This window comes from Homo sapiens, chromosome 15 (assembly GCF_000001405.40).
Source record: "Homo sapiens chromosome 15, GRCh38.p14 Primary Assembly".
Classification (NCBI taxonomy): Eukaryota; Metazoa; Chordata; class Mammalia; order Primates; family Hominidae; genus Homo; species Homo sapiens.
In genome coordinates this window covers 84,150,831-84,166,052 of record NC_000015.10, presented here as the reverse complement: position 1 = coordinate 84,166,052, position 15,222 = coordinate 84,150,831, and the positions used below count along the sequence as shown (strand labels likewise).

The following is a 15,222-nucleotide window of genomic DNA, read 5'->3' as shown; positions in this document are numbered from 1 at the left end:
GTTTTAGAACTGATTGTTTTTCATTTTGGGAAAACCTACCAGGTTTAATCAATTACTTTAAAAATAATTATCATATTTTGCAGTCTTTAAATAGGTGTTTTGATTCTTTACTCCCTACAGAAATTCAAATTTATTCAGTTGAAGTCACATTTTAAAATTCTATGTTCCTGCTGAACTCTAACCTTCTAATGTTGCCTTCTAAGCAAATTAAAGGCTGCCTTATACTGAATGAGGTAGAGAACAAATACTTGGCTGAATGAGGTACTGCAAAAGACTGCATGCACTTTGAAGAAAGACTTGAGTTATTGTCATAGGATTTCCATTCTCTTTAGCTTTTTCTTAAACATATGACAAAATACCTACACAAAGAGTCGTATTTGAATTAATATAGTATATTTATTTTTCAGACTGACATTCATCTTAAATATGCCAGTATGTGATTTAATCCACAGGTACCTGATGAACACATTATTGTCAGATTGGTTACAGTTGCTAAACGCTATCTGAAGGTCATTCCTAGTCATTTATACGTGTCAGGGTAAAAGTGAAGCGATTTGAACTATAAAAATACCTTTGAAATAATTTATCAATGTATTAGATAAGCTCAGTTTCAGAATGATAAACAAAAACTGTTAGACCAAATAATGTGCTACTGGCAACCCAGGTGCCAATGCAGGGAGAGCCCAGCCGGGCAGCCCTCAGCAGGGACAGTGTATTAGTCTGTTTTCATACTGCTATAAAGAACTGCACGAGACTGGATAGCTTGTAAAAGAAAAAGGTTTAATTGACTCACAGTTCAGCATGTCTGGGGAGGTGTCAGGAAACTTACAATCACAGCGGAAGGTGAAGGGGAAGCAAGGAAACTTCACGAGGTGGCAGGAAGGAGAAGTGCTGAACAAGTAGGAAAAGCCCCTTATAAAACCATCAGATCTCATGAGAACTCACTCACTGTCATGAGAACAGCATGGGGGAAACCCTTCCCATGATCCACCAATTACGTCCACCTGGTCTCTCCCTTGACAGGTGGGGAAAATGGGGATAATTCAAGATGAGATTTGGGTGGAGACACAAAGCCTAATTATATCACACAAGGACCCCCCATCATCCATAACCAAGCCCTACTGTGTCCCTGGCCTCTCTTCCCCACCTCCGTCCTCTGCTCCCTCTGAGGCTGAGGAAAAGGAGCAGGCTGGTCACCTTGGGTGAGGCCAGGCACCTCAAGCCTCAATTGCCCTGCCTCTCCTCCCTGTAGTTCCACCCCAAGAGTGCTGGGCCCTGCCCACTGGGATGTGTCCTCCAAGGCCTTGCCTGAGTCTGGCCCTGCCTCCTTCAGGAGTGTGTGAGCCCCTGGGCCAGGCTAGAGGCCACCTCCAGGGAACTGTGGCAGAGGCAGGAGCCTGGAGAAAAGGAGGGGGAGAGGAGGCCCGTGGGCAGATGCTGGGCCGCCAGACCTCTGAGAGGGGCCTGAGCCAGTGCTCACGCCTGGGTCTGAGAGTCCCCTGTAGGACTCCATATGGGGCCAGATGGCAGGATATGACAACAGGGTGTAAGTCAGGCACCAGACCTTGAGTCTGCAGAGGCCCAGACAGGACCAGGCGCTTGCTCAAGATACCACAGAAGGTCTGGCTGCTCCAGGGGAAGGGAAGCCTGGTGTCTGTAGGGAAAAGAAAGAGAGATCAGACTGTTACTGTGTCTATGTAGAAAAGGAAGACATAAGAAACCTCATTTTGATTTGTACCCTGAATAATTGTTTTGAGATGTTCATTTGTAACTTTAGTTTCAACCCTGTGTTTACAGAAACACGTGTTGTATAGAATTAAGGTTTAAGGGATCTAGGGCTGTGTAGAATGTGTCTTGTTAATAATATGTTTACGGGCAGTATTTTTGGTAAAAATTATTGTCATTTTTCATTTTTGATTAACCAGGGGCACAATACACTGCGGAAAGCCGCAGGGACCTCTGCCCAAGAAAGTCTGGGTATTGTCCAAGGCTTTTCCCCACTGAGACGGTCTGAGATACGGCCTCATGGGAAGGGAAAGACCTGACCGTCTTCCAGTCCGACACCCATAAAGGGTCTGTGTTGAGGAGGATTAGTAAGAGGAAGGCCTCCATCTCTTGTATGCCCCTGGGAACGGAGTGTCTCGGTGTAAAACCCGATTGTACATTCGTTTTATTTTGAGATAGGAGAAAACCGCCCTGTGGCTGGAGGCGAGATATGTTGGCGGCAATGTTGTTCTGTTACTTTTTACTACACTGAGATGTTTGGGTGGAGAGAAGTATAAATCTGGCCTATGCATACATTTACGCATAGTAAAAAAAAAATTTTTTTTAATTTTATTTTTATGGATAGGGTGATTTTAAGTTTTTATAAATTTGGTTTAGTTTTTTAGTTAAATTATTATTATAGGCTGGATTAATGGGCCAGATGGATGGGGCCTGCGAACACGAGTGAGTTTGGCCCATAGAATTACAATATAATTGGTTTTGAGGGGCCTAGTTTATAATAGTTTTGAATTTATTGTTTTGTAGTATTATTGTAGTATTAGTTATACATTTTTTTAAACTAAGACTTTTGGATCTTTTGATTTTTTAGGGGCAAGGTTTTTTTTTAGGTTTAGATTTTAATGATTTTTGAAAAGAAGAGTTTTGTAAATTATTTGTGGTTTGAGTGACATTTTACTTACTATGTGACAAGTAAATTTATTGGTATTGATAGTAGGTACTTTTACTAATTTTGGGTTGTAGGTATTAAATATTTTGGTGTCTTTTTTAGGCAAATAGGATAATAATATTTAATGGAAATATTTATATTATTATTATTTTTAGGTTGGGCAGGGCAACGATTATTTGTGGGGCCTGGTACCCATGTATTATTAATATATATTTTAATAGGATTATTTATTTATGTGACTGTTTGAATTAAGGGTGGGAAAGGTACATAGGCTTAGTATAATTAGTTGTAGTTGTTTTTGTAGACATGGGGATACTTACTATTGTTGATATAATTATTAAAGCCATAAACAGTATTTTTTTGGAGTTTGTGTCACTTTTGTGTTTTTTTGGGTTTTTTTTTAGTTAACTGTGTTAGTTTTTTTAATTGTGTTTAAGTTGGTGGCTTTGTTTTTTTGGTGGACGGCGACTTTGTTTTTTTTGATGTTATTATTTTATTTGGTGAGTTAATGATGCTTGATTGTGGTGTTTGTATTTTTGTGGAGGTGGGTTTTTGTATTTTTAATGGGTTTATTGTAGAATTTGAAATGTTTAGTGGGTATTTAAACAGGAAGTTGATTTTTTTTTTTTTGGTGAAACACAAGTAAAGCTTTTTTTAATGTTTTTATTTTTTATGTTTTTTAAATTAAATTAGTTTTTTTATGTGGGTTTTTTTATTAGTAAAATGTTGTTTTGTAGAAGTAGTGGTCTGATTTTTATATATGTTAAAAAAGTTTAGAGTGTTAGATTAAGTTGTATTGGGGGAGTGTTATGCTTTTTATTCTTTAATTGAGTTTTGAGTGTTAGTTTTTTAAATTATGGTTTGTATTTGGGAATTATAGGGGATTTTTGTTGTATGTGTAATTTTTTGTTGATTTAAGAATTTTTGAAATGTTTTATTACACTATTTTGGCCTATTATTTAATTTTTTTGGAACTTTTATGACAGTAAAACAAGATAATAAATGTTTTTTAATATGGGAAGTACTTTTGTTTGGTAGGTTGTTTATATAAAATGTGAATAAGTATTAACTGTTGTATGGACAAATGACAATTTTTCAAATGAAGGTACATGTGTGATATTTATTTGTCATAACGAATTAGGACATAGACTTTTGGGATTAACTTTTGTTTTTTGAGTGGGCAGGTGTAGAATTTGACACTGGGTGTAATGTTGTACAATATTTTTTGTTTTTATGTGATATTAAATTTATTTTTTAGTTTTGTTGTATTTATATGAGTTAAGGCATGAAGTTTTTGTGTTTTTATGAATGTAGATGATACTAGTAAATTAGTTTGTTTGTTTTAGTTAAAGGCCTTGGTAAATTAGTGTGTGTTTGAATATGAGTAATATAAAATGGGAAATTTTTTTTTTTACCGTTTGTTGTAACAAATTAAATAGTTGGTTTAACTGATTATATTTGATATTTGATTAGGGCTGTTTTAACTTTTTTTGTAGTTTGTATTATATATGTAGAATTTGATACAATGTTAATAGGCTGATTAAAATTTTGTAATATTGTAATGACAGTAGCTAATTTTGTTTTTTGAGTTAAGTGACATTGAGTTTTAATGACTTGTTTTTTTGGTCTGGTGTAAGTTGTTTTTTTATTGTTGGAACTATTAGTAAACACCGTTAGAGTATTTTTTAAAGGTTTATGTTTGGTAATTTTAGGTAAAATTTAAGTAGTCAATTTTAAAAACTGGAAGATTTTTGTTTTTGGGTAATGATTGTCAATAATTTTTTATAAAATTAGTAAGACCAATTTGTTATATTCCAGAATTGATAAAGGCTTGTTTAATTTGTTTTTTGTTTAAAGGAACAATTATTTTATTTGGGTTATTTTTATATAATTTTATTATTTGTAGTTTTGTCTAATTAATGTAGTCATTTGATTTAAGTACAATGTAAGTCTTAATTGTGCTATAAGGAAGGAAGGACCACTTCATAAGATTTGTATTTTGAACAATAATGTCTGTTGGAGAATGTGTAGTAGTAAAAATTAAAAGTTGGAGTGGGGCTAAGTGATTCATTTTATTTATTTGGGTTGACTGAACTTTTTTTAATTAATTTTTTTAGTTGTCTTTGGAGTTAATGTTCATTATTTAATTTTGGATTTTTTTTTAAGATAGAGAACAAATTTGACATGGCATAAGTAGGGATGTCTAGAGTTGGCCGAGTTTAATATTTTTTAGTAATTTTTGAAAGTTATTTAATGTTTTTAATGTTTAATTTTTATTTTTTGTGGTTTTTTTTAACTTACATTTTTAAGTAATGGAAAGGATTAGAGGTTTGAATTTTATTAGATATTATTGTCAGTCTTGTGTTGGTAACCTTTGCTTGTAGAAATGTGTAATAGTTAATTTGTTTTTGTTTTTGTAGTATACAAAATATTATTAATATAATGAATAACAGTTTGAAAACTTGTGTTTAACTGGTTGAAGAGTTTGAGTTACAAAAAAGTTTGACAAATAGTTGGACTATTAAGTATTTTTTGACGTAACACTTTTTACTGAAACCTGGTGGCTGGTTTTTTATTATTTATGGCTGGTATAGTAAAAGTAAATTTTTTTAAATTTTGTTTTGTCAGAAGAATGGTAAAAAAGTAATCTTTTAGATTAATTATAATTAAAGGCCAATTTTGGGGGATTATGGCCTGAGAGGGCAACTCAGGTTGGAGACTCTCCATGGGTTGAATTACGGCATTAATGCTTTTAAGTTGGTTAGTATGTGTCATTTGTTGGATTTTTTTTTTTTTGAATTATAAACATAGGAGAATTTTAAGGCGAAAATGAAGGCTCAATTTTTTTTTAAATTTTTTTGTTAATAAGTGTAAAGTTTTTAGTTTGTGTTTTGGTAGTGGCCACTGATTTACTTATATAGGTTTTTTTGTTTTTTAAGTTAATGGAATGGGTTTTGGAGGCTTTACAGTGGCCACTTTTAAAAAGGATACTTTATTTTTTTTTAATTTTTTTTAGTCTTAATTGAGACTTCAGTGTCTTTTTTTTTTTTTTTAGTTTTTTGTCAGGGAGATATTTCATTTTAGTCACGATTTTTTGACTTGTGGGGCTGTATAGGAAGGCTGGGATAGGGCAGGGATGGAGCTTGGAGGAGGGCTAGAGCTCTGAGGGGGAGGATCAGAGGGGCTTCCTGGAGAAGGAAGACACAGGAGGGGTCCCCAAGGTAGGGGTGTTCAGACAGGCTTAGAAGGGGAGGGCCACGAGCAGGACAGGCTCAGGCAAGGCAGGAGGTGGCCGGAGTCAGACCTCCTGATGGGGGTGTGTGGGAACTTCCGACCAGAGCCCGTGAAGGCCCCACTGATTGGAGAGTCCACTACTGACCTCCCCCTCCACCCAGGACAGAACCGAAACCAGTGCCAGCCTCATCCTGGCGGGAAATTCCTGTTATCCTAACATTCGGGTGAGGTTGGTCTGGGCCCCCTCCCTCCACCTCAGACTGGGGCCTGCAAGTCAGGGTCCTGTTTCACCCACAGTCATCCCAGGGCAGGGGTGGAGCCCCACCCCACCCTGGGCCCCAGCAAGCAGCCCTGAGCCAGATTTCCCCAGGTTCCAGCCTCCGTCAGCACAGAGCGGGCTCTTTGTAGAGGGCTCTCTGCAGCGGCGGGCTGGCTCAGGGGTGCCAGCACGGTTGGCAGTGTTCTCAGCTTTTCGCTCTTGCAGGGAGTGGTTCTCCCACCCAGCATGCTCCGGTGACCAGGGTGACCTGAGCAGCTGTGACTATCCTGTCAGCTGAGCCGCCAGGTGGTCACAGGAGAGGAGGCTGTGGCAGGCTCTCCCTCTGTCTCCCACAGCCCTGCTGCCCCTGGGCCACTCTGGCACCCCCGTCATGGGAACCGAGGGTAATGGTGGGGTAGCCCAGTGGACTTCATAGCCTAGACTGCACCATGTACATGGTACTTCATGGGAGGTAAGGAACATGCTGGAGCCAGCAGGCCCACCTGCCTCAGCCCCTCAAAGAAGGACCCCCCAAGAGGAGGGTGGGTCAGGCATAAGTCACCATCATAAAGAGGAATTTGTGAAACTCCAATGTTTTCGGGGGCTCAGCCCGCGCTGGGGAGGGAAACTGTCTGCTTGCAGGCTGGGTGCTTTGCATGTAAATGGGTCCTGCCGTTCTTCGGCTCCACAGAGGGAGAGATGCGCACTGTGTGGATAGGGCTCCTCGTGGTTTTTTTGTTTTTTGTTTTTTTGGGACGATTCTTGCACTGTTGCCCAGGCTGGAGTGCAGTGGTGCGATCTCAGCTCACTGCAAGCTCTGCCTCCGGGGTTCATGCCATTCTCCTGCCTCAGCCTCCCAAGTAGCTGGGACTACAGGCGCCCGCCGCCATGCCCGTCTACTTTCTTGTATTCTTAGTAGAGATGGGGTTTCACCGTGTTAGCCAGCATGGTCTCATCTCCTGACCTCGTGATCCGCCCGCCTTGGCCTCCCAAAGTGCTGGGATTACAGGCGTGAGCCACCACACCTGGCTGGCTCCTCGTGTTTTAAGAGAACTTTAAAATGCAGAATTTGTGGTGGAATCTCCCAGGTTTTAAATGTTGACAACCAGGTCAAATTTCAAAAGAACGTGTGGTTTAAACAAAACACATCCAGGAACCATACTGTGCGCCAGGAGATGGAAGCAAGGCATCCATGGTGCGGCCCAATTTTCCAGTGCTTCCTCAGCCCCGTATCAGCCTGTGCACCTGTGGGAACCCCGGCATGCCAGACGGGGGAAGCAGGCCTCAGGACCCCAGATCCCCAAAGACAAGGCACCACACTTTATGGCTCCTCCAGCATTTTCCAAAGGGTGGTCCAGAGAAACTTGTTCCTGGAGTTATTCATAGACATTCCTTATTTAGAGCCAAAACACTCTGGGAACCTCGGAGTTAAATAAATCAAAACAGACTTCTTTACTCCAGAACCTCTGGGAGCCTTTCACCTGTTACAGTGCCTTGTGAGTATCCGGGAGGCAGAGGCTGTGCAGTGCTTCCCAAACCAATTCCACATGGAACCCATTTTCAAGGCATACCTGTTAATTCCAGAAAGACGCTACTGCCCCATAGAATGCGGTTCTAGAAGTGGAGCTCAACACACCACTCCACCCATTTCACAGACTCAGCCATCCCAGGGTGGTGGGAGCCCAGGCTGGGGTAGGGAGGGGCAGAGGAGCTGCCAGACTGTCAGACGCTGGTCAGGAGGACAGCAGCAGCACCCAGGAGGAGCAGACTGAAGGAGCCAGACCCCCTAGGAGGCCCCTGCTGTCATCCAGGGGACAGGGAAGGGGTGGAGCCAGGCCTGAGGCAGGGAGGTGGGTGCAGAGTGGATGCCTCCCAGGGAGATTTTACAAGTGGAAGGAACAGTCAGAACTTGGTGACTGGAAGGCTGTGTGGAGTGTAGGGGAGGGAGGAGGCGAGGAAGAGACCGGGTGAGGGCTAAATGGGCAGAGCTCAGATGGAGACTCTGGGACCCAGGGGAGGGGTGCTCAGAGCCCAGGCTGGGGACCAGTTCCCTCCACCTCCCCTGACCCACAGCCCATCTCAGGGAGCTAGGCTCAAGCAAACTTCAGCCACCTGGAGTTCCCATGGCGACCACGGGAGAGGAGCCCCAGAGGACCTGGGCAAGCAGGAGGAGGAGAAGCAGGTCAGGGCACCAGGGGCTCAAAACCCGACCACCCACTTTTTGGTTAATCCCCACTGCTCTGAGCATTCTCACTAAACAAGTTAGGCTGGTGGTTAGTAGTCAGCTCTTCCCACCCTGCTACCGAGCCGGGCCTTTGTTCCGGTGGTTCTATTCTCTCTGGGATGTTTCCAGCAACCCTGGAACCAACCACACATTAAAATCTCACCTTGTGGCGCAAGTCAAATATCCCCCGCTACATGAAGCATCCCCAACTCCTCAGCCAGAGCTGAGTTCTCCCTTCCCTGCGCACCTCATGCTCCTTAGAGCCTGGTATTCGGGCATCTGAGGAGTCTATGTCTCCCCTATGAGACCCTCAGCTCCTCCAGAACAGGGTCTCAGTCCTGTTCGTCTGGTTCCCCCATAAGCCCAGCCTGGTGCTGGGCATACAGCAGGCATTGGTGCAGCCTGGGCGGGGTAGGTGGAGCCGAGGCAAGGGTCGACTGTGAGCAGGGCTGCTGATGCCATCTCAGTTGCTAGTTTGCCTGTGGTTGAGGCCCCTGCCTGCTTCCCACCCTGAACTAAGGAAGACTGCCTCACCCCCAGGTCCCCATGGCTCCTGGTTGCCCTGCAGAAGGCAATGAGTATCTGACCCCAGAGGCCAAGCCTAGGACATGCAGAACCTCTGGCCTGATCATAAACAACTCAGGCCAGACTGTCACCCTAATAACTTGGGGGACCCTGAGCTATGGGGGAACAGAACCCCAAGGAAGATGAAGAAGCCCATGAGAAGGGAGGAGAGAGCAGAGGAGACCCTGGGGAGCAGCCAGTGGGGAGAGGCCCCTGTTACCACTGCCACTGGAGGCCTGGCTGCGCACACATGACCCAGAGAACAGATTCGGGGAAGACCATTCCATTTAACTGGCAAAGTGGGATCATTCCCGCAGAGGGGAAAAGAGCTTTTCCTGCCACCCAGAGCCAAGGTGGGGCCCCCTCCAGGAAGAAGTGAGGAATAAGGGCTTTAGAGCCATTTTGAGGAGCATCCTGGGAGTTCCAGGACGGCCAGGCTGCTGAGGTGATGGGGGAAGGGCTGGGAGGAGGAGGCAGATCCAGAGATGCCCTGAGCTGGAGCCCACAGCCTGCACTCACTGCTGTGCTCCTGGAACTGCCACTGAGCTGATGCTGGAACCGCTGAGAGGCACGTGTCTTGCAGGTGCTGGAGCCTGCCAGCACCTCCTCTTGGAAGAACTGAACCAGGAGCAGCATGCAAGGGGGTGTGGAGAATGTGCCCCGCAGACGTCTATCCTGCCACCCAGATGGCACAGAAGGGCCAGTGTGGGGCCCAGAGCCAACAGCAAAGTCACCCGGGGAAGACCCAGAGACTCCACTGTGGCCTGCGCCCTTGCACCTGACGCGAGGACTAGGACAGACAGGAGAGCCTAGCAGCGGGGGAGCGGGGGCTGGCGGCTGCAGCACCTCTCACTTTCTGCAGCCACAGGAGAGCAGCCGGCGAAGGCTGCGGCTGACCAGGCAGTTGGCCTGTGGCTGTCCATCCAGGCACCTGGATGCCCTGACCTGTGGGTGTTTCTGGCAGAACAGGCCTGGAGGGCAGGGCCCGGGCAGGCATCACTCACTGTGAGGACTCTGCCTCAGAGAGCCCCTGTTGACAATGGGGGAGGGAAACATGAGAGAGGCAGGCAAGGAATAGGAGGCGCGGTTCTGCTACCCCCACCTCAGCCTCAGCCCTCCCTTCACGGAGCACCGCCCCGGCCCCTCCCCACCAATGCCACCTGATCCCAGCCCCTGCTCTGTGCAGGGCCCTGGGCCACTCAACCTGGCGTGTTCATGATTCAATGCCTGCATCCCACACAAACAGGTTCCACCCTCGGCCCAGGCAGCAGGTGGCTGTCCAGCCCCTGCCTCCCAGTGCAGCCTCCTGCTCAGGGCAGGGAAGCCCAGCCTCCATTTCCTGGGAAAAGGAGGCTTGGGCACCCTGGAAGGGAGAACGCTCCACACCCCCCAATAGAGGCTGGTGGCTTTCTGCTGTGGGAAGGTGAGTGCCCTGAACACAGAGTCCCAACCCAAAGAGAAAGATGCCCCTCAGCATGTGAAGGTGGCAGGGATCAGGGTGCTCAAGTCCCAGCTCCAGCTCTGGGAGGAAAGGCAGGGAATTGCCTTGGGGCCTCCATTTGTCTACTCATCGAGAATGAGCACATTCCTTAGACGGTGGAAGGTTCTGGATAAGCCAGCATAGGGCAAGACCCATGTCCTCTCAGGAGGATGTCAGAGAGAGAGCTGCCTGCCAGCGGGCCGTGACCTCCACCCCAGGTCCTGCTGCTTTCCCTCCAGGCTGAGGGCTTTGGGTGTGCTGGGCTGCGGCCAGACTCTTGGAGGCCACCATTGGCCATGTGCCTCTCCTCTCTGGCTTCTGGCCTGCTCCAGAGTGGACCCGGGTCTTGCCCCATGCTGGCTTATCCAGACCCTTCTACCATCTGTTTCCCTTGGGTGAGTTCTTAAGGGCAGGACCTAGGGTGTCATCTCTGCTTCGCAGCCTGGAAGTGCCCATGGGCAGGAATGGAATGCCTCTGATTTTATCCAAGTGCACCAGGGCTGGGTACACACCAGGCCTGACACAGATGTGGTTCCATCCCTCCCAAGCAAGGAGATGCTGGAGGAGGAGAAGGCGGGAGAGGCCCCAAAGGCCTAGGACGGAGCAGACCTAGGAATGACACACCCTGCCTTGCCCCACCTCACCCCAGGCGGTGGATCCCAAGGAGCCACTTCTCCAGGAGAAGGGATCCAGGTGGCCACTGGCGGTCATGAAGCCATCTGGAAAAGCCTCTTGACGGCCAAGTGCAAGTGCCCAAGCCCCCGCAGGTAGCAGAGCCGGTAAATTACGGCTGAGGGCTGCACACCCTCCCTTCTGTATTTATATCTGCCTTGGTGCCTGACAATGGATATTTATGTATTTTCAATATTCAGGGCAAACGCTCCATCACTCCATGCTCACGGCTGCAGCACACGACACCAGCCCCACAGCAACTTTCCTCTTTCACCTGGTTTGCCCACTCAGGGCCCCAGAAGGGAGACCCCCACCCCCATCTGCAGGCCCACATGACTCAGGGGAGTAGAAGGAAGAAAGGGACCAGGCCAGCCTCCCTGCGGAGCCTAAGGGCCCTCTCAGAGACAGGGCCGGTCCCCCTGCTTTATAAACCAGCAGCCGAGGCTCAGAGAGGTGGGGTGCCTGGGCGGGGTCACACAGCATCCTCTCTAGGCCAGGGTTCCTCGCTCACACCCCAGGCGAGTTGCCTCCCTCCTGACCAGGGAGAGTTACAGAGCCTGGCTGCCTTTCCTGACCCTCTGACCTTTTTTTGTTTCTCTTGTTCTTTCTAGCGTCCTCTCTGTGTGTCTCTGGGTCTGACTCTCACCATCCTGGCCCCTCTCACATCCTTCACCATCTCTGGCTTAGTGTCTCCCCCTCTCTCTCACTGCCCCCCATCTCCCTGTTTCACTCCCACCCGGCCCCACCTCCCCTCTCTCCTGGCTCACATCCTCCCTCCCTCTCAGAACCCCTGTCCTTGTCCACCTCCATCTCCCTGACTCTGTCTCAAGGCTGAGGTCAGGGCAGGGGTGGGAGGAGCTGTCCTGGTGCCCAGCAGGGGCCTCCCTGGGCAGCTGTGTTGCCCCTGCCCTGCACTTGTGATAGGAGAGCCCCCAGGGCCCTAAGCCAATGCAGGCACAGAGCAGAAGTGGGACTGAGCGTGGGAGGTTCGGGGTTGGGGGGCAGGTTTCCACTCGGTGGGAGCAGGTGAAAGACGTGTGTGCCCCATCCCCAGAGCTGTGTGTAGGGGGCACTGCGGGTGGACTTCTGCACCAGCCCCACCACTTGACCTTGAACGATCCGTCTGGTTCTGGGATCGGGGCTGAGTGATGAGGTCCCTGGGCCTGCCGTAAGCTGAAAAGGTTAATGCCTCTGGGCCCGGGGTCCCTCAGCCTCCTCACTGCCCACATCGGTTCCTCCCCACTTCACCTTCACCCTCCTGCTGCCCCTCTCCCCTCTCCTCTCCTCTCTGTCATTTCATTCCTCTCTCCCTCCTCCTCTCCCTTTCTCCCTCGGCTGGGAATGAGAAGAATTAATTAAATGTGTCCTCAGCTCCGGTCTCCTCACTTCCTCCAGGGAATTAGCCACTCCCTGCTCCTTGGGCCTTGTTAGATTCCAAGAAAAAAATAACTGGTGTGTGCTCTGCACGCATGTACGTGTGCACGTGGGCATCCCTGCACACACAGTGGTATGCCCCGGGCTGGTCTGCATGTTTGTTGACACGTACTCATGTGTGTACAATTCCATGCACACTCCGGAGTCTGGAGACAGGACTGTATGTGTGAATACACACGTGCATCTCCTAGGGTGCATGTGCACCTGTGTTCCATATGGGTCTCTATACGTGTGCACTGTGGGGCTTCACACCGAAAACCACCCCTGTGTGTACACGTCTCTGTTGGATCCGTGTGCTTGCACTGTGTGTTTGGGGAGTTGCGCGTTACTGTGCAAGTCTGTGTTGTGTGTGTGTGCGCTAGACTTATGTGCACACCTCTATTAATGCAATATGTGTGTCCATGCATGTGAGCATGTCTGTGTGTCTCTGTGTGTGTGTGCAGTGTACACGCACCCTTGCCACCCTACACACACATCTCCTTCCTGGCTCCCTTGAGCTAGCAGCCTTGTCCCCAACAGGAGGCCCATCATGCCGCATCTCTGGAGTGATGGCAGTGGTGGCAGTGGCAGTATGGGTGTCAGGAGGCTGCAGGTGGGCAGGTGGAGGTGGCGCAGGGGAAGGTGCTTGCTAATGAGGCCACCTTCCTTGCCAGCCTGAGAGCTGGTACCACTAATGATCTCTTCAGTAAGCAGCTCCCTGGGGAAGGGCTGCTGCCACAGCCCTGCTCTCTCTCTCCCCTGGGACCCTCCTTTCCCCACTTCCCCAAATGCTGAGGCGCTGCAGGAGCCATGAGCATGAAGATAAAGCACAGACAGAGCCAGGGGCCAGTGCCTGGTCCCACCAGGACCCAGGAGACCGTCCGCCTGCCCGTCAGCCTGCCACCAGGAAGCCCACCTTCCAATGAACCCTCTGTGTTAGGGCACAGTCTCCAAAAGGCCTCTGAGAGTCCACTTGTGCTTCTGGAGGAAGGGGCCCTGCACACCGCAGACAGGGAGTGTGCTTCTGTAAAAGGAGCACTCAGCTGGGAGTCAGGTGGGCTGGCCACTAATCCCAGCGCTGTGTGACTTCGGGCAGGCCCTGTACCTCTCTGGACCTTGGTTTCCTTATCTGTAAAATGGGGGAAGGCTAGAATGGCTAGTAAATGCTCAGCTCTGTGAACCATCTGAACCTGTTTTGTATCACCAGTAAGGAATCACCCATAATGGGGGGAAGACTAGAGCCACTCTAAACCTAAAACAGGATTAGATGGTATACGGAGCTGAGCATTTGCTATTTTAACTTTGTGTTTACTTTCATGGATATATTTCATGTGTATATTTTCACATATATGTGTATATGTATATGTCTGGGTGAGCATGTATGTGCACATGTGTATGTGTATATGTATATGTGTGCGGGTATTTGACTAGTATATCAGACCCTGATTTCTCAAATATGGCTAAAGAAGAGGGTAAATCACACACTTAAATTTTAAAGGTAAGCTGATTTTTAAAAAACACTAAGTAAAGAAGAATTCCAGTGGCATCTGAGTGTGGCAAAAGTCCTGATGAAAGGTGACAAATGGCTGCCTCCCTGGACTGAGTGTCCCTGTCCCCTTCCTGCCTAAGGGACAGTGGATTCGGGGCCCCGGCCTCCCTGGAATGAGAGATGCACAGACTGGGCCCTGATCTCCCACCGTGTCCTCACAGCCCCAAGACAGAATGCCATGGGGATTGGCAGGTGACCATGCTGTGAAGTTCATGGAGCCAACCCTCTGGGCCACAGGCCCCACGAGATCTCTGAGGCCACAGAGTGTGTCCACATAGGTGACCTCCAGGGTGATTCAGGCCAGGGCACAGGAATGGCCTAGGCAGAGGTGGCCTGGGCCTGGGCAGAGGTGGCTCAGGCTGAGCCTGAGGCATCCTGGGGGCTCAGCACTGCATATCCTCGGAGAGGCCATCTGAGACTGCTGGGCCCATGAAGAGGCTTCTTCCCAATACCCACCTGTCCTGCCCAGGAGAGAACAGCCAGCCCCACAGCCCCAAATGTCTCTGTCCTCCAAGAGGCCGGATGTGAATCAAAGGAATTTAAAGCCCGGCCTGGTGTGGGATTTATGAGTCTGCCTCCAGCCAGGACTGGCGGGGGAGTGGCCACTGTCAGCCCCCCATTGCCACTGATGGATGAGGCTGTTTCCTGCAAGACAAACTCCCCTCTGTGATAGGCAGCGGAGGGAGAAGCATCCGGGCCCTAGGGCCAGCCCCATACTTGTCCCAAAGCCAGATCGCTCATGCCTTCCCTTGGACCTGCCCAAGATGGGACATACCACACTCAAAGCCAGAATGGATCTCTGAGGTAGCCCAGAACACACACACACACACACACACACACACACACACGCACACACACGCATGCACATACATAAAACAGGATTAGATGGTACACGAAGCTGAGCATTTGCTATTTTAACTTTGTGTTTACTTTCATATTTCAAATTTTAAAAGTAAGCTGATTTTTAAAAAACGCACACACACAGTACACAGATGAGGAACCAGGGTCCAGAGAGGAATGGGCCTTGCCTGAAGTCACCCAGCAGCACAGTGGTGAAGCTGAGACCCCAGCCCACAAGCCCCCTGGACTGGTCATTTCAGTGTCCGGTCACAGTGGACTGTCATATGGCCACAGGGGTAGTTTTCACCTCCAAATG

The 15,222-nt window shown here is 48.3% G+C and overlaps 2 annotated features.

Annotated features, from left to right (window-relative positions):
* Nucleotides 9,938-10,544: an enhancer, noted in NCBI's record as "H3K27ac-H3K4me1 hESC enhancer chr15:84824261-84824867 (GRCh37/hg19 assembly coordinates)". NCBI's record gives its function as "activates a minimal SCP1, AML or CMV promoter by ChIP-STARR-seq in primed H9 embryonic stem cells {active_cell/tissue: H9 hESC(primed)}" and the evidence as "EXISTENCE:reporter gene assay evidence [ECO:0000049][PMID:30033119]".
* Nucleotides 12,818-13,318: an enhancer, noted in NCBI's record as "H3K4me1 hESC enhancer chr15:84821487-84821987 (GRCh37/hg19 assembly coordinates)". NCBI's record gives its function as "activates a minimal SCP1, AML or CMV promoter by ChIP-STARR-seq in naive H9 embryonic stem cells {active_cell/tissue: H9 hESC(naive)}" and the evidence as "EXISTENCE:reporter gene assay evidence [ECO:0000049][PMID:30033119]".